We start from the raw sequence: 22,855 nt of genomic DNA, 5'->3' as shown, positions 1-22,855 counted from the left end.
TGTTGGCTTGTGTTCATGTTCTAATGTTTTGTAGAAGGTGGAACTTGTGAGCCATGAAATTGGATATTTAGCTGAGGAGATTTCCAATCCAAGTATTGAAGGAGTGTCTTGGTTCCTCATGACTGTTTATAGTAAAATGTGAAGAAAGAGATAAATTGAAGAAGGAATTTGTTAAGCAAGAAAGAACCAGAATTTAAAGATTTGAAAATTTCTCAGCCCCTCCATATTGCAAAAAGAAATGTTCTGAAAAGAACACTAAGAGTATGGATGATCAACCATTTAATAAGAGATCATGCATTCAGTTTCTCCATTTAATCAGCCATCTTAACAGAAGCCAGGAATAGAGATGAGATTATACCAGCAAAGACACTGCCAGTGTGAACTAAAGGGGACAGAAAAGACACAACAAAATGCACCAAGTCTGTCAGACTTCTTGGGTTTTACCTGATGGAATCATGAAACTATCTGGTTGCAAACATGTGCTATCTTTCAAGAAAAGGAAAAAAGGACCCCAGAGCCACAATTCAGACTTCATCAGGGCTGCCAATCCTATCACTGGTCCAGAGTGCACAGGCCAGGGGTGCAAGGCTGCCTCCACGTAAGTTTCAGATGGCTGGACCACAACTCTGCAGAAGCATGTGTGGGCAGAGCTACCACAGAGAGCCAAAGAAATGAGATGCTGCCATCCCACTGGGCCTGGAAGGTGGAGGAGCAAACCAAAGAGGATTATTCTTGAGCCTTAAGGTCTAATGGGGCCAGGCTCGGTGACTCACACCTGTAATCCCAGCACTTCAAGAGGCCAAGGCAGGTGGATCACTTGAGCTCAAGAGTTTGAGACCAGCCTGAGCAACATGGCAAGATTCTGTCTCTACCAAAGATACAAAAACTTAGCCTGGCTTGGTGGTGTGTGCCTGTGGTCCCAGCTACTTGGGAGGCTGAGGCGAGAAGATCACCTGAGCTCAGGAGGCAGAAGTTGTAGTGAGCTGAGATCGCACCACTGCACTCCAGGCTGGGTGACAGTGAGACTCCATCTAAAAAAAAAATTTAATGGTATTTGCCTTCCTAGGTTTTACACTTGCTTAGGACTACTCACCTCTTTTTTCCTTCTAATATTTCTCTTTTACAGTACGAATGTCTATCCTATGCCTGTCCCACCATTGTATTTTGGAAACATACAACTTGTTTGGTTTCATAGTTTCACAAGTGGAGAGAAGTTTTTCCTCGGGATGAACTGTATATTGAGTCTCATCCATATCTGATTTACATAATACTGAGGTGAGACTTTGGACTTTAGAGATAATATTGCAAATCAGTTAAGACTTTTGCGGCTATTGGGGAGGAATTAATACATTTTGTATGCAATAAGGGCATGAATTTGGGGGGGCAAAAGGGATGCAATACTATAGACTGAATATTTGTGTCCCCCCCAATATTTATGTACCAAAGTCTTAACTTGTAATTTGAAGGTATTAGGAGACAGGGTCTTTGAGAGTTAATTAGGGGTGGATGAGATAATAAGTGTGGAGCTCTCATGATGGGATTAGTGAGGATGAAACACCAGAGAGCTTCTTCTCTGTCTCTGTCTCTCTCTCTCTCTCTTGCTCTCTCTTGCTGTCTCTCTCTTGCATGTAAGGACACAGCAATTTGGCAAGCCATCTGCAAGCCAGAAGAGAGCCTTCACTGGGGAACAAAATTGGTCAGTACCTTGATCTTGGACTTTCTAGCCTCCAGAACTGTGAGAAAATAAACTGTTGTTGTTTATGTCACCTAGTCCAGGGTATTTCATTATGACAGCCTGAGCAGATGAACCCACTCACCTAGGAAGTGGTAGGATTGAGATTTGAATTTGGAAGCCTTACCTGAGGATTTTTCACTTAACCAACTACGCTACACTTTTAACAGTCCCTTTTCCCCGCAAAGACTTCCAAAAAGAAAGCTAGGTATCCTCTTTTAGGGTATATTTTTGTCTCCAAAATTTCCCTTATACCAATGGATAAGAAAAAAAGTGACTTGATTTCAGGTTCCAGGTGCTTGGATTTATTCTTCTTCTTAAAATGTCTCTGAGTAGTGGGACAGAAATTTCCCCACCCTTCTCCTCATGAAGCTGTGTAGACAGGCCACAAAAGAAAAGAGCAACTGACTTTCCCATTTCTACATGACTTGACCATGTCACCAACACCTGTGTCAAAAGGAAGTTTCACCAGATGCAGTCAGGCCTCCGCAGGGGCTGCTGAGCCGCAGTGTCTCCAGGAAGACCCGCTGATGAGTCACACTCCAATCCACTCATCAGACCACCGTGCTGCTGGCCTTCTGTTGTCTGGTAAGAGCCAGAGCACTTGGAGAAAAATGCAAATGCGTCTTTAGTACCTACATAAAGGTAAAACATTTTGCAACAGCATTTCTGGTCTTTAGATTAACACGTACACTATGTCAGCTTCACAGGTAGTTTGGGCCCACATTTGAGTCTTGGGAAAGAGTAGAGTAACAGGAACCCTGCTTCTTTCATGTGAGTAGGAAAGTGTCCCAAGGATGTTTGCTTGTGGATGTCTTGAAGCTTGGAAAGTGGGAAATGCTAAGGGGGAAACTAAGTCAAGGAAGTTCTCCTCACAGATATGGGGCTCAGTATTTTGTGGAGGCACAAGCATAGGGCATAATGGAAAAGGCATGGGGGGCCAGGGACTGTGAATATGGGGGTACATCAACCTTGCACCAACTCCCAATCAGGAAGGTACATTATGAGGCTGAGCAAGGCATATAAAGGAAATTACAGCAACTAGAGCTGTCAGCCAAAGTGATCTTTGTAAATCTAAACCCAATCATGTCATTATCCTGCTTAAAGCCTTTCAAATGACTTCCATTGCATGAAGAATGCAGTTGGAAAGCCTTAGTGAGTCCTGCATAACCTGTGTCATACACATTTCAAAGACCTTACTCGTGCCTCCCTTCTCGGGCTTCATCGCCTCCACTCCAGTGCCCCTTTGGTTCCTGGAACATGTCAGTCTTTTTCTGCCTCATGGCCTTGACACATGCTGCTTTTGTTTTTCAGATGGACCACTCATGCTCTTGGCTTTGGCTTATCCTTATCCTTTTGGTCTCGCCACAATTGCCCCATTCGAAATCCATCCCTTGCTTTTCTATTATTTTCTTTCTCAGCAGTCTGGTCATAACTTCCTCAGCCCTCATACATTATGAAATTACTATGCCCACTCACACGTTTTTGACTGTCCCACATTTCGACTTTGAGGCCCATGAGCACGGGGACCACATCTGTCTTGGTGTGCCCTCAATATCCCCAGCATCTTACACATGCCTGGCACTTGGTAGGTGTTCAGTCAGTGTTTGAATAAATCAGTGAAAGTCCCATTGGCAAGAGTTAAGCTGTCCTTGCCAGGACATTGTGGTCGCCTGACACAGCAGTCAAAGAAGCCTGGAGAGCAACCCCTGCCTGACTTGCCATCAGAGCTGACTTCCCTTTGACACTTTGGCCAGAGGCAAAGACAAATGACAGAGGTGTTGCCATTCTCCAGCCCACAGCATGTGTCTGTGTGCTGAGCAGAGGGGTGCAAGTGAGGGCTGAGGACCAGCCTGTATTCCAAGGGCTGGCCAGGTGCCAGCCACCTCAGTCCACAGGGGGATGCTTTTCTGGTTAGACTGCCAAGAGCTGAGAGCTTTTGGAAATTCACACAAAGACACTGCAGGGGCTATCCAAGACCCTATCAATAACTCAAGGGGGTTACAGACAAGAGAGCCAATGGCGAACAGGAAAAAATTGAATCGCAGCCCCAAGATGGCCGAGGTTTAAGGGTCAAGTGGCAGGTTCATCAGGCTACAGAGGCAGGCTTTGGATCACAGAAATACATCAGCCAGACCCAAGACTAGAATCTCCTGGCAGGAGCAATAGCAGGAAGTGGTGGCATTCAGATAAGATCTGCCCAGGTAGGGATTTACTAGTCACTTTAATGCAGTTTGGCTCTAATTAATTTAGAGGAAAAAGCAAACACCAGGGGAACCAGAGAAACAAGACAAAGGAAAATAACCTTATCTGATTTCTATATCCTCTGACTACCTCTGAAAGGTGTTTATCAACAATAACTTCCTTGTGAGAGGGAGTGGTTTCCATTTCTGGTCGGAGCAGCCACCTTGTAAGCTTGTTCATACCCCTTCCCCTAGAAGCCCCATGCAACTTGTCACCAAAGAATACCTTGAGAAATACTGAAGCCCTAACTCCTTCATATTCTTTTTCCTATAGCATACAAATAGGTCTGGGTAAAATGAGATAGCACATACAAGTTGCTTTGCAAATTCGCAAAGACTCATGACAGACTTTAAATAATCTACCCCCAAGGGAAAACTAAGAGAATGAAGAAATGGAAAATGACATTGCCATTCATTTTAGTAGTAGGAGCTCTGTCCTGTCCCTTCAACCTTGTCGCCAGCATGCTCTGGAAGTCAGATCAACAGCTTCCTTTTACAGATGGTCTATTGCATTTGCTATTATTATTGACATTGCAACCTGTTCCCTTTTCTCTCCCTCCCAGCAGCCGCCAGAGGATCGGCCAAATGGCCCTGAATGAGGAAACCCATTCACGGCCATTTGTCTGCGGTTGTGTGTGTGTTCAGGTCTCCATCTCACACTCACTCCATCCTGACAAGTACAGAAGGTGAAAACATTGCTAGTCAGCCTATTTTCTGAAAGGGATCAGCCTGTTGCTGAAAGATTTATCATCAGGGAACTGCAGGGTAGGGGAAGGCCTTTACTTGAACCAGAATTGGTCATTCAGAGTTCTTTCTGTAACTTGATCATTTATTTCTATTTTATGTACCTTCTACCAAGGAAAGAGGGTGCATGTGGGACCATTACCTCATTGAAAGTAGTGTGGTCAAGTAACTATCTCATTGAACAGCCTGTTAGAGAGGTAGTGTGCAGCTCATTTGACTGTTGCTTTAAACCTTTGGGGTCTGTGTGACCTCTGGTGAGAAAAGGGGATTTCAGGTTTTGCCTTCTCCAGTCACATGCACTGCAAATGGGATCATGAGACACAGCTCCTGATTCCAGAAGACATATTCCATCCTCCACTCTCAACCACTCATTGGAAGAGAACATGCTGAGTGAGAGGTGACAAAAAGCCTGGAAAAATTGAAGGAGGGGTTGTAGGAAAAATAATTCTTCTTGTAAATATTGGTGGCCCATGTGCATGAGATCACATTCAGAGATGTGAAACCTATCAATGGCTAGGAAAGGTAGTCATAGTTTGGCACTGTTATAAGATACAAATCATAGCAACATCTTCTATTTATCTAAGGCTTCAGTCATGTCAGAATATACTTATTTCAATTTCTCACTTAATCCATGGATATTTTTATTCTTACTGCACAGATGAGGCAATGGATATTTAATGAATAGTTTGCCCAAAGTCATAGCTAAGAACTGGGATACCTCCCATGTATTTGGATGCTCAGACAAGAGCTCTGTTCTCCAAGGTCTCTAAAACCACATTTAGAAGCAATTGAGGGCAGCAGGAGGTGATATTGGAAAAATCTGCCTGCAACGCACTCACCTCCTCCAAGAGTAAATAGACCCACCTCATGGCTCCCTTGTTCACAACGACTCCTCTTCTGTGAAAATTGCTATTAGTAAACCGAATGCCCCTACAACCAATGTTTGAACCATCCAACCCTGACCCTCAGCTTGCAGGACGCTAGCCATAACTGATCCACAAAGGGTGGGAGGGATATCTGATCCTGGTTTGGCCATTTAGATTGGAACTAGATGACACAGACGTGGTCATGGAGCTTAGTTAAGGCAGGGCTATGAAAGAATTGGCCATAACACTTTTTGCTGAACTCTCAGAAGCTACTCTTACTTCCAAGTCTTGTTTGGCATTCTCAAAAACGTCCTCTTCTTACTTAAGAAAGTGTAGAAGATACTTGCATATGAGTGTTCATTCAACACACATTCTAAACCCAGTTCTTCCTTGCCTTCCTCTCTCCCTTGCATCTAAGGATGGCAATGCACTGTAACTCTGGCCAAGAAAATATAGGTAGAACCCTGTGGGCTGCAAGATGGGTTTCAAAATAAAAAGGCAAAGGCATACTCTTCCCATTTCTCACTGACTAGGAAGCAGATGTTATGCCTGGAAAAGAAGCCACCATCTGGAAAACATTTTTAAAGGCCACAGAACTGAAGAATCATTGAATCAAAGGATCAGAGGGACAGCCTACCTCTAGTATTTGTATCATATACAGAAAAGAAAATACAACTATTGGTTTAAGCTCCTGTGAGTTGGGTATTCTGATATTTGCAAACAGAGAGATGGCTTCTTATACTTAGAATGAATAGAATCTTGCATACCTCTTGAACATCATGAAACGGACTTAAATGATTTGAACATTTCAGCTGTGATATGGGACCCAAGGAAGTCATCCACATATAGAGATCTGAAGGAACACTCTGTACATGTGAGGAGGATGATCCTTGAGATTTCCGCTTCCAAACCCTTCCTCCTTTATAGTGTAGAACACGATGAAGAAATCTTGGTTAGGCTTCTTTAGGTTTCTTGAAGGGAAATGTATACAAAACCATGGGTAATGAAGGTTTTTGGAAAGACAGAAGATATGTGGAATATTTATAAAATTGATCAGACACTAGAGTCACCTCAGATTCTATTTGTTACTGATTCATTCTTTCATTAACATTTGTTCACTCACTTAGCCTATAACAAGAGTTTATTGACCACCTACTGCGCCAGGTGCATGAATATTCTGGTAATTAAGATTTATTTTACTCTCAGAGAGCTTTAATACAGATCTTGAAGCAGATTTTCGCAAGTACTTCCTATAAAGTTGGATGAATATCTGGATAGTTGGGATATGTCTACATTTTACAGAGAAATGAAAAAAATGTTCATTATAGATAAGAATGAAAACTTGGTACACATAATGTACTTTCCTTAATTCACTTAGCATTTGTGCTTTCCCAAGAAGAGATTTCAGAGAATTCATTTGGTACCAATCAGTGAGGGTGAAATGCTACTCTTGGGCACATGTAACATGTCATCTCAAAGGTGATTGGACTTCCACCTGCCCAGTCCTAGGTGGCTGTTTCTGGAGTGTTCATGTGTCTGTATTGGTCATCTCAGGCTGCCATAACAAAATATAATAGACTGTGTGGCTTAAACAACAGAAATGTATTTTATCACAGTTCTTGATGCTGGAAGTCCTAGATCAAGATTTGGCAGGGATGGTTTCTGCCGAGGGCTCTTGTCTTAACTTGTGGATGGTCACCTTCTTTTTGTGTCTTCATATGATGGAGACAGCAAGCTCTGGCATCTTTTTCTCTTTCTATAAGGGCATCAGCCCTATCAGATTACACCCCCACACTTTTGACCTTATTTAACCTTTATCACCTCCTCATAGGTTCAATTTCCAAGTATAGTCACATTGGAGGGTTATGACTTCAACATTTGAATTTGGGGGAACATAAACATTCAGTCTAAAATAATGGCTGATTCTTCCTGCTTTGGTAGCAGGGCAGATGTCACTCAAAGGGCACCCTATGTGAACAACACCACAAGATCAGAAAGAAAAATAGAGTCACTTTTCTTTGAAGGTGGCTCTTTAGGCACTATGGACTTTTCCTTCCATCATCCCTGGTGTGGGGACAAAAATAAACCATCTTGAGAATGCAGTAGCCAGAATTCTTTCTCTGAAAATACTGGACTCATTGACTTCAAGCAAATACCATAGGTAATCCATTAGCAGCTAACTATGAACAATCACTATTAGCCAATACATAATTGATTTCAATTTATCTGCCTCAAATGCCAGGAAAAGCATGGGTAAGATCATGGACAGCCACTACTGGGGGATGAAAGAGAGAGGAGCTCTAGAAGGAAAACAAAATACTGTCTTGGGTTATATGCTTTGGTGTCACATATATAAATAAAATACAAGGGCTATTAGAAATGATTTTGTGATTGAAGTAAAGGTCAGATATTTGTAGTTTCATTTAACTGAAGAATAAATAAAAAGGAAATGAATATGCCAAAATTATAGGAAAGTTCTATGATGAAAACAGAGTTTCCCATGCCCAAACCCACTGGCTCTAGCCACTGCCAGGACGCATGCACCAGCGTCCTATCCCGTGGGAGGCTTTAGTCCAAGGACAAACCTTTCCTACTTAATTAGCTCTCTGATAGTTCAGACGTGCTTTTAACAGTATTAGCTACTGCTTAGGGTCCCTTCCCCTAGATTTTCCTATATATTAAAGACAATACACCTGGAAAAGAGAGACACTGAAACTTTCAACATCAAAATTCAGACTGGCATAAGCCAAAAGTCCCCAGGGAAGGGTAGTAAAAAAGTAAGAATTGCATATTTCCACATCTGTTTTCAATGAGACTTATGTCAAATAATTTTGTTATTTGACAAAAGCAATTCAAAGAATTGCTTTGTTTTTTCAGAATGCCTTGAAAATGTCATTAAAATTCACCTATCAGCACACACAGAACATACCACCTGTCCAGAGTGTTAGATCAAATGAGAAAACAGGGGCTTAGGCCTCATGGGTAGGAAGAGACTTGACCTGCTGCAGAGGAGGAGAGGCAATGTTGTTTCTAAGCATTCCTGTTTCCACCAACCTGGGGGCAAGCAATCTATTTTCAGCTTGACACCAATCAGGAAATGGCTCTGCTAAAATACCCTCCCTGTTAATACAAATGAGACATATCTCCGGAAAAGCAGAGAATGCCAACATGGATCTGAGTGCTCAGATGAGAGAGGCCATTCCTGGGTTAGTAAGTGAAAAGCTATAGTTATACGTGAGAAAGCAAACCTGCAGGAGCAAGTTTCTAGATGGTAATTTGGTAATTACATTACAATTAGAAAGTCTTACAGAAGGTCTACAGCAGTGCAAACCCTTTGGTCCAGTAATTTCACTCCTTTGAAATTATCCCAAGGATATGTAGGCAAGGATGCTTATTGTTGGGAGGTAGCCCTAGATAAATCTCTTGTGTTACAACACACCTTGCTGGATATGGCAAGAATGTAGCATCCTTTACCACTCTTTACCAAGGCCATTTCCCAGGCTGGTGCTTATAGCAAGCAACCTTGGAGGATGAGGTAATGTCTCTTACTGAGACAAAGAGCAGGCTTACTTACCATTTACAAAGCAGAAGTAGATTCCCTAAGCTCAGTATTCCTGTTGCAATGCAAACCCACTGTGTGCAAAGTGTCCCTCTGGGCCCACTGAATCAGGTCTGTGGGGCTTGGAAGCAAGGGGAACCAACGTACATGCTGATATTCATGCTATCTGCAGTACTGTAGTAATAAAGCCCTTTGTCTCTGATCCAACATCTTATGTCTTCTACCAGCATCCATGAAATGGTAGCAGATTTACTTTTTAGCTGGCAAGGAGTGTAAAATCGAATCCCAGACCTGACAGCTATGATGATTGTTTCGTAAAAACAAGGACATTAACTGTCTTCTAAGGAGAAATTGGTTAAGTTAATTGTGGTACATAGATACACAAGGTAGAGTGCAGACATTTAGAATGGCTTCGGGATGTATATTTATTGACATGGAAATAAAATAACAACATATTTTTGAGTGAAAAACCAGGTAAAAAAGAAACATATATAGATGAACCACTTTTATATAAACACATAAACATTTCACAGGTGTATATATATATAAAATTTCTGCATGGTTCCATACCAAAAAAGAAAAATGTTAACCAGAGCTTTCTCTAGGTGGTGGACTAATAAATGAGTTTTATTTATTTTCTCATCTATGAGGTTTCTTATTTCTCAGTGTAAACATGAATTTTTTATGTAAAAAAATATTAATTGACAAAGACCTGCTAAAAAAAAGAGCATATGACAAAATCCTTGTACTTGAAACAAACTGTAAAGAACTGCTCTGCAAATACAGAGGGAGCTGCAAACAAAAGTGAGGTTCCTGATGGGACACAGCTCTGCCTGTGGTACTGACGACAACCCACAGAACCTGAAAGAGAAGAAATAATGGAAATACCCATCTTAGACATGATCCTCTTAGAACAACTGAAGATCAGTCTCAGAATCTAACATTTAGAATCTGAGGTGCCAATTATGCCTGGTGTTGTAATGAAAAAACACTCTCACTCAATGTCTGTGTGTTATCCAGTGCCACAAGTCACCCAGGAAGCCTGAGACTCAGCCCTCAATCACTGACTAACCTCTGCATAAACCCCTTTTAAATCTCTTCTGCTTATCCCTTCCAGTGCATTTCACTGCTCTGGCTTGAATCTAGGTTCTCATCATCATTTGCCTGGATATTAGAATATTCTTTGAACTGGTCTCTCTATCTCCACTTCACATCCTGATATAGTTTGGAAGTCCCCTCCAAATCTCATGTGGAAATGTAATCCCCATTGTTGGAGGTGGTGCCTGGTGGGAGGTGATGGGATCATGGGGGCAGATGAATGGCTTAGCACCATCCTCTTCATGCTGAGTGGGCTCACATGAGACCTGGTTGTGTAAAAGTGTGTGGCACCTCCCGCATCGCTCTCTCTTGCTCCCGCTCTTGCCATGTGACATGCCTGCTTCCACTTCACCTTCTGCCATCAGTGAAAGCTCCCTGAGGCATCCCCGGCAGCCAAGCAGATGCTGGTGCTATGCTTATACAGCCTGCAGAGCCGTGAGCCAATTAAACCTCTGTTTTGAAAAAATAAATTACCCAGTCTCAGGTATTCCTTTATAGCAACACAAGAATGACCCAACACACACTCCTTTAACCCTGCCACCTGATTTTTTAAAAACGTAAGTCAGAGTGTCACTTCTTTGCTTAAAATCCTTCAGTGTCTCCCAAATACCTACAAGATGTCCCAGCATGTAAAGTCACCTGCTGGCCTCACTAAACTTTCTCCTTGTCCCCCTTGTCCTTCTCCCAAGACTCATTTCTTTTGATTTCTTGCATCTCCTCTATGGAATGTCCCCACTCCCACCCAGCCAGGCAAATGCTCATGTCAAGATTCAGATCCTCCAAGAAGGGTTTCATAATGTCTCCCCAAGTTGAATTCCTTCTTTGGAGTCTCAGTTACATCATATTCAAGTTCATCAAAACACTTACCACCCTTTGCTTTTGTATTTCTCAGAACTTTCCTATTTGGTCGTGAACACATGAGGTCAGGAGCCACATCTTATTTATATTTACATTATCAACATCTAGTCCTATACTTGGCACCCAAAAGAAAATCTATACCTGAATGAAAAAAATACATAGTTAAAACCATAGAGTCTGGCCAGGTGCAGTGGCTCATGCCTGTAGTCCCAGCATTTTGGGAGGCCAAGACAGACGGATCACTTGAGATCAGAAGTTCAAGACCAGCCTGGCTAACATGGCGAAACCTTGTCTCTACAAAAAACACAAAAATTAGCTGGGCATGGTGGCGAGTGCCTGTAATCCCACCTACTCGGGAGGCTGAGGCAGGAGAATCACTTGAACCCAGGAGGCAGAGATTGCAGTGAGTTGACATCGCGTCATTGCATTCCAGCCTGGGCCACAGAGCGAGACTCCGTCTCAGAAAAAAAAAAGAAAAACAAAACCATAGAGCCTGAGTACAAACACACTCAACAAACCTTCTTGATTCTGAAAAGTTCCCAATTAAAAAGCCTCCTCGCGATGGACTTTCATTGTATTGCCATCAATATTTTGCTGCCCAGAAAGAAATAAATTAGGTGATTTTTACCTGCAAAGAATGTTGCTTTAGACATTTTTGTTTCTGTTGGACACAGGGCAGTCTCCCCCTCCTGCCACCTTGGAAATGTTAGCATCACTGGGACAAAAGCCAACAGGAAAAACTAACACCATAACAGGATAATATGCTTTATCAGATTATCCTGTGGAACTAAGCATACTAAGAGATACTTTAAACCTTTTCTGTAATTTATTCAGAAAACATTCAAGGACAGAAATAAATGTCAACTCAGATGAACCAAAACAGATGTAGAAAACAAACAAAAGCCATGACCAGACATAAAAACTGACCCAATAGGATGTGGGCCTGAAACTGGAAATCAAGTTTCTAAGTTCTATTTAAAATACAACAGTTGAAAGCTGGGTGCAGCGGCTCATGCCTGTAATTCCAGCACTTTGGGAAGCTGGGGTGGAAGAATGGCTTGAGGCCAGGAGTTCAAGACCAGCCTGGACAACACAGTGGGACCCCCGTCAGTACAAAAATTAAAAAAAAATAAAATAGCCAGGCATGGTATGGTCCTAGCTACTCAGGAGGCAAAGGCAAGAGGATCCCTTGAGTCTGGGAGGTTGAGGCTGCAGTGAGCTGTGATTGTGCCACTGCACTCCAGGCTGGGCAATAGAGCACCATTCTGTCTCTAAATAAATAAATACATAAATACATAAAATGTATCAGTTGGAATAGGCCTCCAAAATATAGAACACACGTAAATTTGAAATAATCTTTATTTCATCAGTGTGATCCCTTATCATAAGCAGAGTATAACACAGTGTTTCCAGAAAGGGTTTGAAAGGTCAAGACAGACCATGTAACATGAGGACTGATAAGCCATTTTTAACATGATGACTTTTCCCAAGAAAGGCTCTGGAATAATCGGAAGCAGTGGAGTTTAAAGAACTATCTCTTAAGTGAGGATCAGAACAAACTTCTTTGCCATTACAGGTTCTTTCTCTTCCTGACACCCACAGTGCCCTGAGTTGGCCTCGTGGGGCCGGCTGGAGCAGGAGCTGGAATAAGAGGACAGCCTCAGGGGCTTCTGGGTGGGACTGTGGTCTCTGGGAGCTGCTCAGGATCCACTTGGCTACAGGCAGGCCTTCTGGATGCTCACACCACAGGTGCTTGTGAGGAGGGGACTTCCACCCTCAGGTCTGTGGGGTCTGGGTGCCATGTGGAGGAAGAGTTGGCCCATGTCCTGTAGCAGCTCAGCCACAGCCCTCCACAGATGGGCCTTGTTACTTACTGGAGGGTTTGCTTCAGAGATCGCTTCTGTGCCCCAGCCTTGGTTACTCCTCTTGTCTTGGTGAACATTAAGCCCCGTATCCTTTCTCTACCTTTACCCAGCTATGCCTTTTGGTCTTGAGATCAGCAGCACTTATTTTCCTGTAGGCCACGGAGAACTTTGTTTTGTTTTTCGATGTCTCTTCTAGAGGCTTCAGGAGCTGAACCTCACCTTGGAGGTGGCTGATCACAGTTTGGGCACTAATAATGTACAGTCATTGCACTGCATTAGTTTCTCAGCTCTCCAGTGCTGGACCTGTCCACTGAATTATATATAGGGAGGCAGCATCCTCAACTGGTCATGGTTTGCTGTGTCCATGCCAGTTAGTGTTAAGCCCTGACAATAAAATGAGGCTGTGCTGGAAGCAGCCCTCCTCACAGTGGACTCGGCAGACACGGTTCCACTGTTTGGTTTCACGTTATGGGCAAATGAAGAAGGGGTTTGGTGTGTGACCTGGTCCATGGTTGTTGTAAATTATTTGTTGTAAAAGGGTTTGTTTTATAAACATTTCAAATATATCTAGATTGCCTCATCCTATTTTATTCTTTTCTAGTTTTACAGAAATATGCAAATAAGACTTAAAGCTGTGGACAAGAAGAGGAATTGATCCCAAATCTCATCAGGTCCGTTGTTCATACAATGAGTATGTTTTTCATTTGGAAAATTTCTTAGGTTCATGAAAGAAGAAAAGAAAAATGGATGGGTACATAGAAATGTATTAAATAGCATCTGTTATTAAAATTATGATCCACAGGTTAGAAATAAGTATTACGTTTAGCTTTTCTATATCCATTGAGTCCAGTCTTAGACCCTCTATTAGGGAAGAAATAGTAGGAGTGGGTTCTTGTGGTTATTGTATGTATTTCTGTATAAGAATTCACTGCGTTGGAGATCGAGACCATCCTGGCTAACGCGGTGAAACCCCGCCTCTACTAAAAATACAAAAAAAATTAGCTGGGCGTGGTGGCGGGCACCTCTATTCCCAGCTACTCGGGAGGCTGAGGCAGGAGAATGGCGTGAACCCGGGAGGCGGAGCTTGCAGTGAGCTGAGATCGCACCACTGCACTCCAGCCTGGGCGACAGAGCAAGACTCCTTCTCAAAAAAAAAAAAGAATTCACTGCATTTTATTTCCAGAAGTTCCCATAATTTGGAAGAGGACATTCAATGCTATGTAGCCAGAATTTATACAAGTACTTTTTCAACTTCAGTTTGATTGAGGGTGAGGGTGTGTGAGATTGGGAAGCAGGAAGGAGGTTATTGTATTTTAATTGCTTGGGTGTGGGAGGATCTGGTTATCAGTTTCCTATGAAACGCACTCTATTCTGAGGGATTTCGTACTTGTCTTATTAAACGGAGATTCTGTGATTTTCTCATTACTTACACATGAACTTAGTGACTTGTAATAACACTTCATGATTCCAATCTCAACTTGCTCTTTTCCAGCTATGGCAAGGATAACATCCCTGCCTCTGGGAGCCTGGCAGCACCTTTTGCATACTGGTGAGATTGCACTCTGGCCTGTGCAGAAGAGGAGGCTACTGGATAGCATGAGACTCTGTGGTGATGGGAGAGAGGGCACAGGGTGAGTCTTTTCTCACCCATTTGGGTAACAAAACAAAGAACCTGAGAAACACCTAAGTTGTGCTTTACAGACTTGAACTCAGAGAAGGATGAGCTTGGAAATGCCCAGGGTTCCATGATGGTAAGCATCAAATTTTTCAAAAGATGTAAGAAAAGAAAAATGAAGTCTGATGCACCCACAAGCACAGCTTTCTGGATAGTGAACAAAGAGCTAAGATACACATCTCTGGGTTCATTGAAACAACCTCTAGAACAGTTTCACATATTTCCTTTTCTCTGTTTCTTTCAGCTCTTTCAACCAAACCATGAGTCATTTTCCAATGTGGCAGTCTATTCCTCTATGTTTAAGTCACTTTAGGCAATTTGTAAACCCAAGTATGAAGCTTCTATCGGTCTAGCTTGAATAGAAGCATTAACGGAGTGCTTAACCTTTAGACAACTCTTTTGTGAAGGCTGGACAACAGACGGCTTGATATTATCTTTTCAGTAGGGACACGGAAGACCAGTGGTGTGATGAGGTAGTTGAAGGCAGATGTGTTGTCCTGAACCAGATATATCTCAACCACAGGACACGGATCTGCCAAAACCAATTTAACAGGTGGGCAGCTGTTACTCGCCTCCCACCGCCTCACAGAGTTAGGCTCTGAGCGTGAACGCAGACAACTTTTGTCACAGGAATTTATTCCCAGCATATGAATAAGAGAGTCTCCTTAAGAGAGTCTTTAACTTCTTAAGGGCAAAAGAGGACAGTCAATTACCAGAAAGAAAACATTGCTATTATATGATCACTCATGAATGTCCAGAGGATGATATGTAACAGCTTTGTTTTCTATTTTTCCATCAATGCAGAATCCTTCTCAGGAGCCCTCTCCTCTGGTCTCCTTTCACTATCTCTGTGTCCTGCTTACCTTCTCCCAGAACCCTGGCTCTCAATCTGTTGTTCCATTTAGTTTTACCACCTGTAAAATTTCTGTGAAATCCACAGGGTCCTATTGGTTTTGAAACTAGCTTTAGGTTCTTCAAAACTCAAACATGTTCAACCTTTGTCTTACTAATAGTGCCCACTTTTTATTGAATGATTGTGATGGCCTATGCAGTCCTATGCAAATAGAGATACTTATTTTTTTAAAAAGGGTTTCTGTGTAAAAGAGTGGTGAGGCAGAAGAGAGTGACAATGCGGGGGAAACACCCTGAAACCTGCCTTGTGGTATTTGAAACTAGGCCATTACAATGACTGAATTCTTACCATTTTTTTTAGATTTTCAACCAACAGTCTTCTTTCATTCATGATATCAGCAAATTAACAAAGTGCAGCTAATGTAAATAACTTTCATTTTCCATTGTCCATTTTAAAACAAAGAGGTCATTCTCTGATAGTAGATGCATAGATGGTATGTTCTACATCAGTTTTTGTTTTGTTTTCCAAATAGTCTGTTTTGTCTTTCAGAGGTAGAATTACCAAATCTCTGAAACTTAAATCAACCCAAAGACAAAAGTATGTTTTATTTTGTTTCATTTGTTTTAGTATGAATATATAGTACTTTAAAAGAAACATCATATACAACTCGATTAATATGAATTCATAATGTTGACATTAGAAATAGGCCAACAATCATTCTAAAGTGAAACCATCTTTATTTTGAAAATTACCAAATATTTTCTACTTTTTAAGTTATTATTAATATATAACTCTGCCTATTTTTTCAGAGTAATTGACGAAGGTAAGACTAAAACAAATGAATTAATGAATAAAGGAAAAAAGAAAGAAAGAAGAGGCAGGTGATACAAGGATGCAAATACACAGGCCCATATAGGCTTACATTGCTGCAAACATAGTTAAATTTGGCTCTTAGCCCCCTGGCAGTCAAAGCAAAAGAGGGGAGATATGGTCAGTTGCATAGTTCTTATTATTAGATGAGAAGAAACATGCTAGTTCCTCAGGGGAAGCGAATGTATTTTTCTTGTACTAATGTCTCAAGCAAATCAGGCTGGTGGGGCCTCACATGGGAAATGCTGAGTGATGTTATACACACTGAACTTAACAGGAGTCCTACAAGCAAGGCTAGAGTCTCCTCCTTAGAAACCAAGGGCACAACCTTAAAATGCAATCCAGTTTAGGCAATTTGTAAACCCAAATATGAAGCTCTTATCGGTCTAGCTTGGGTAGAAGCATTAACAGAGTGCTTAACCTTTAGACAACTCTTTTGTGAAGGCTGGACAATAGACAGCTTAATATTGCCTTTTCAGTGGGGACAAGGAAGGCCAGTGTTGTGATGAGGTAGTTGAAGGCTGATATGTTGTCCTGAACCGGATATCTCAACCACAGCATAGGGATCTGCCAAAACCAATTTAACAGGTGAGCAGCTGTTACTCTCCTACCAACACCCCACAGAGTTAGGCTCTGAGTGTGAGTGCAGACAACTCTTCTAGTAGAAATTTACTCCCAGCATATCAATAAAGAATTAAGTATTCACCTTCTGCAAACAGAATATTTACTTGGGGCCCATTTAGCTGGGATCATTCCCATGAAGTCACATGACTAAGGTTGGAACACGTGGCAAAGCATCGTCTCACTCAGTGGTGCACACCATTGGCTACTTTTCACTATGTGAGCTTTGCAAAGTGATGTTACTGAGACCCACCCAGAGGGATCCAAGTGCCTATGACATTTGAGGCACTTGCCTGGACTGTGCTTTCCTGAACCCCTCTCCAGAATCTGGGTCTCAGAGACTTGTCTCTTGCTGATCAATACATTCAATCTAACATCCCCACAAAGATGGAGTGTATTTCTGATTTTATGATGCATGCAAATAAGATGTTCAAAATTAAGTTTAAATTTCAGCAAGTTCCTTTCTGTTTCCCTTTATATACTCTCTCTTTGATATAAGTGGAGCCTTCTCTCTACCCAGGAAGACCTTTCCAATCAAGAGCTACATAGGCAAGATCCAAGTTTATTCAAGCATAGCCAGACAAATCTGTCTTAATTTATGAATGATTCATTGATACAAAATGAATAGAGAAGTCCTTCTTGAGCAAGGATTGATAGGACATTTTGATATCTTCATTACATCAAGAAATACTATGTAGAATGTGAAAGTCTTTCTGATACTTCTAAATACCAATGTTCAATTTAACATTCACCGGGCTGGGGGACATCAGTTCAAGGGTTAATGTGAAGGAAAAACAATTGCTTTCCACAAGTCCAGGATATCCCTTCTGATGATGGTCTTAATTAAGATGAGTGAGTAAGTCAGCCTCACATAAATGCAGTCTAAACCTGCATCTGACATCTTTTCAAAGGATCAAAATACTGAACAGCATGAAACACGGCAGTTTGACCTCTCTTACTTTTAACTTCTATCTTGATGATTTGCAACTACTTCTAGATCTAGAGGCACATCTGCCAGAAACAACGAAGAGAATGAATACACATTGATGACTGTATATAAGCAGAATGAATCATACTAGGATTATCGATATATGTAAGCAATATTCCCCCATATTTATGCCATAGAATGCCATTTGCCATTATTAAATTTTGTGTGCAAATACATTTGGAAAGGAGTATTCCATTTAATTTAACAGAGCTTTCTTAAGAGAAACACAAAAACATTCTTCCCCAATACAAATTGGCTCCAGGTAAGGCATAAGAGCATATCCTGCTATTCAGGTTACAGATGTAATTATTTCATTCCTAAAAGCAGAGAATAAATAGATGTTTAAAAAGTATCAATTGGAGTTTAATACCCAAGTAGACAATGCATTTGCTGCATTGGGAAGACTAAAAATTGGGACTAGTAAAAATCAATGAAGAAATCTATCTCCATCTCATTAGGAAGCTGAATTGGGATAGGACATGTTCTTGTTCAGTGGGCCAAAGAGCCTGATGATAGTCTCCACTTGGGGAGTCCATGATACCTTTACATTCACCAAAAGTATCTCTCACTTCTGGGTACAAAAAAAAAACCAATATTCTTGAAAAGAATAAGCATAATACATACATGTGGGAATAATTCAAATAATAATTAGGTAAATTTTGAAATGATATAACTTGGAAGAGACAACATGTGAAAGTACAGGGCTGGGGCAACATAATAATGTTTCTTTGTTTATATGCAATTCCCAGAAAAAGGTGTAGTTGATGCTTAAAATACAATCCCCTTGGTTTGGTCAGTTTCTTCTTCGACATTATTATAAGGGGAGGAAGCTGGAAATAAACTCATCTCCAGATGATCTTCCTGGAAACCTGCCTAAAAGAGTGGTACACAGGTTTGAAAATAAACAAGCTGGGCAGATTAGGGTAGAAAAGTTTCCAGGAGCTGATCCATAACACTTCTATCTAACAAGAACATTGAACTCAGCTGTGTTCCTTATCAAAAGTCAACCCGGAGCCATTGTGTGATCAGCCCAGGAAGAGCCAACTCACCCACCCTTTTCCCATTGTATTGCACACTCTTTTCATGACATGAATGGATTTTTTAACCTAGAACTTCTCACTAGTAATGCAAGTATGCTGTCTTGAGCAAAACTCTCCATTTTTCTGATGTGTGTGTGTGTGTGTGTGTGTGTGTGTGTGTGTGTGTGTGTGTGATTTACCTTTGAAGGAATTCGTATAGTAGGGGTTGAGGGTTCTTGGTGAGCACAGTCTATTGAACTGAATATTATGCAATCTGAAGGATCTTGAGATACCAACTGTCCACTTGAGGCAAACAGGACAGCAAGCACACTACCTTCTTTCTGAGAGGTGAAGCCAGCTGGGTTTCTGGGTCAGGTGGGGACTTGGAGAACTTTTCTGTCTAGCTAAAGGACTGCAAATGCACCAATCAGTGCTCTGTGTCTAGCTAATTGGGTAGGGAACTTGGAGAACTTTTCTGTCTAGCTAAAGGATTGTAAATGCACCAACCAGTGCTCTGTGTCTAGCTAAAGGTTTGCAAATGCACCAATCATCACTCTGTAAAAATGCACCAATCAGTACTCTGTGTCTAGCTAAGGGTTTGTAAATGCACCAATCAGCACTCTGTAAAAATGGACCAATCAGCACTCTGTAAAATGAACCAATCAGCTCTCTGTAAAATGGACCAATCAGCAGGATGTAGGTGGGGCCAAATAAGGGAATAAAAGCAGGCCACCCAAGCCAGCTGGGCAACCCACTTGGGTCCCCTTCCACATTGTGGAAGCTTTGTTCATTTGCTCTTTGCAATAAATCTTGCTGCTGCTCACTCTTTGGGTCTGCACTACCTTTATGAGCTGTAACATTCACTGTGAAGTTCTGCAGCTTCACTCCTGAGGCCAGGGAGACCATGAACCCACCGGGAGGAACAAACAACTCCGGATGCGCCACCTTTAAGAGCTGTAACACTCACTGTGAAGGTCTGCAGCTTTGCTCCTGAAGTCAGCGAGACCACGAACCCACTGGAAGGAAGAAACTCTGGACACATCTGAACATCTGAAGGAACAAACTCCAGACACACCATCTTTAAGAACTGTGACACTCACCACGAGGGTTCTCAGCTTCATTCTTGAGGTCAGCGAGACCAAGAACCCACCAGAAGGAACCAATTCCATACACACTTCTATCTTAGGCTTTAATTGCTTTTGAAGCAAATGAAGAAGAGCTGGGATTTTCTGAGTCCCCCTCTCCCACTTCAGCCACAAAAGGTGTGAGATGAAGTCCATCCTAGCAAAACCCAAGGCTGAGGAAGGAGGTGATTGATCACAAAAGAGAAGAATAAGAAACAGAATAGAGTTCTGTTATCTGGAGTCTTTGGTCACACTCCCTCACTCCCTTGCTAACTTAATGAGGGAGTCTTTGGTCACACTCTCTCTCCTTCCTAGGAAGGCAGGTGTGGCACTGTGTGTGATCCCATCTGTCTCCAGAGCCTTCCCTTAGAAAGGGCCTACATATGGATGAGCAGCCCAGCCTTTAAAGGACAGTTAAATTGCATTTGGTAAACATTAATCCAGTTTGAAGTATTTTTAAATATTTTGAATCCACTATGTGATTTAAAGTAACTTTTATCAGGAGTGTGGGGGTGCTGAGTGTGGAGGAGGAGTCACATGAGTTACAGTAAACCGTGATAGTGTTGTTTTCTAATATCATGTGTATGTGTATGTGCATAGTATTTTGTTCCCTTCTTAAGAGAGTCTTCCAATCTTTTAAGAAGAACATGCAACTTCAAAAATCCTTGTGGTAAGTAAATGCTTTTCAGACTTTCCTGCTCAATTAAATTGTCACAGGACCAGTGATATAAGTGTGTGACTGCTGTCAAACATGCATTAATACACATATACATGTTTGTGGACTAATGCATTAACTTTTTGGGAGAGAAGCAATGTGCTGGTATGGTAAGATACATTAAAGGAAACATAAATGAGATGTAATGCTGAAGACTGTATGAAAATGGAAGAAATTTATATGAAATATTTCTCATTTTCTGTGAGATAACCATGAGAAACTTTGGAAAAACAACAAATTGAAAAAGTTACCCAAATGTCTCCAAGATGATGTAATATATACTTATAATGTTTCTTTTGAAAAATAACTTTCTAGTGCTACTAAAGTACATGGCCTCTGAATCTACAACATCTTTTAGATCTATGGGGCATTTGAAAGTATTTTGGTATCTGAAATGCTTATGTATTGTCCAGGATTTTGTCTGGTTTCAAACATATTGTTTGGACCTGGAAGCAAAATGGAGAATACTTCTAATGGCACTAATGGGACTCTTCTCAAAAATACTGATGTCATTTATGTACCATGACTGATTTAAGAATAAACCTGTGGGGACACAAAACACTGGCATGAGCACAAATCTACATATTGGAAGTCACAACTTCCAAAGAAACTGCAGAGAAACAACTCTCATTGTTTCACTATGAGAAACAGCTTTTGAAGGAGAGTGTGCAAATGAGATACTATGACCTTTTGTGGGTAGTTGTTTATTCACTTCACAAAGGGCCCAAAATCTATTGATCATCACAAGCAATTGGGCAATGTGGCATCAAAGGTTTCTGAGGGATTTCCAGGCAAGATGGCCAAATGGGAATAGCTCCAGTCTGCAGCTCCCAGCGAGACCAATGTAGAAAGTGGGTGACTTCTGCATTTCCAACTGAGGTACCTGGCACATCTCAATGGGACTGGTTAGACAGTGGGTGCAGCCCATAGAGGGTGAGCAGAAGCAGGGTGGAGTGTTGCCTCACCCAGAGAGCACAAGGGGTCAGGGAACTCCCTCCCCTAGCCAAGGGAAGCCGTGAGGGACTGTGCCTTGAGAAATGGTGCACTCTGGCCCAGATACTATGCTTTTCCCACTGTCTTTGCAACCCACACACCAGGAGATTCCCTCAGGTGCCTACACCACCAGTGCCCTGGGTTTCAAGCACAAAGCTGGGTGACCTTTTGGGCAGACACCAAGCTAGCTGTAGGAGTTTTTTTTTTTTTTTTCCTACCCCAGTGGCATCTGGAACACCAGCAAGACAGAGCTGCTCACTGCCCTGGAAAGGGGGCTGAAGCCAGGGAGCCGAGTGGTCTTGCTCAGGAGATCCCACCCATAGAGCCCAGCAAGCTAAGATCCACTGGCTTGAAATTCTTGCTGCCAGCACAGCAGTCTGAAGTCGACTTGGGATACTCCAGCTTGGTGGGGGGAGGGTCATCCACCATTACTGAGGCTTGAGTAGGTGGTTTTCCCCTCACAGTGTAAACAAAGCTGGCTGGAAGTTCAAACTGGGCAGAGCCCACCACAGCTTGGCAAAGCTGCTGTAGCCAAACTGCCTCTCTAGATTCCTCCCCTCTAGGCAGGGCATCTCTGAAAGAAAGGCAGCAGCCGCAGTCAGGGGTTTATAGATAAAACTCCCATCTCCCTGGGACAGAGCACTTGGGAGAAGGTGCAGCTGTGGGCACAGCTTCAGCAGACTTAAATGTTCTGGCATGCTGGCTCTGAAGATAGCAGCGGACCTCCCAGCACAGCGCTCACGCTCTGATAAGGGACAGACTGCCTCCTCAAGTGGATCCCTGACCCCTGTGCCTCCTGACTGGGAGACACCTCCCAGCAGGGGTCAAGAGATATCTCATACAGGAGAGCTCTGGCTGGCATCTGGTGGGTGCCCCTCTGGGATGAAGCTTCCAGAGGAAGGAGCAGGCAGCAATCATTGCTGTTCTGCAGCCTCTGCTGGTGATACCCAGGCAAACAGGGTCTGGAGTGGACCTCCAGCAAACTTCCAGCAGACCTGCAGCAGAGGGGCCTGACTGTTAGAAGGAAAACTA

The 22,855-nt window shown here is 42.2% G+C and overlaps 1 protein-coding gene and 1 long non-coding RNA gene across 3 annotated transcripts in view; one reads left to right on the top strand and one right to left on the bottom strand.

Moving 5' to 3' along the window:
• SUGCT (succinyl-CoA:glutarate-CoA transferase) overlaps positions 1-22,855 on the bottom strand; it is a 903,812-nt gene that overhangs the window by 57,066 nt on the left and 823,891 nt on the right. The window lies entirely within an intron of this gene.
• Positions 1,812-17,073, top strand: LINC01450 (long intergenic non-protein coding RNA 1450). Its single transcript, NR_110831.1, has 3 exons — positions 1,812-2,377; positions 13,567-13,636; positions 14,458-17,073. It is a non-coding gene; the product is annotated as a long intergenic non-protein coding RNA 1450 (long non-coding RNA).

This window comes from Homo sapiens, chromosome 7 (assembly GCF_000001405.40).
Source record: "Homo sapiens chromosome 7, GRCh38.p14 Primary Assembly".
In the NCBI taxonomy this organism is placed as follows: Eukaryota; Metazoa; Chordata; class Mammalia; order Primates; family Hominidae; genus Homo; species Homo sapiens.
This window is presented reverse-complemented; position numbering and strand designations above follow the sequence as displayed.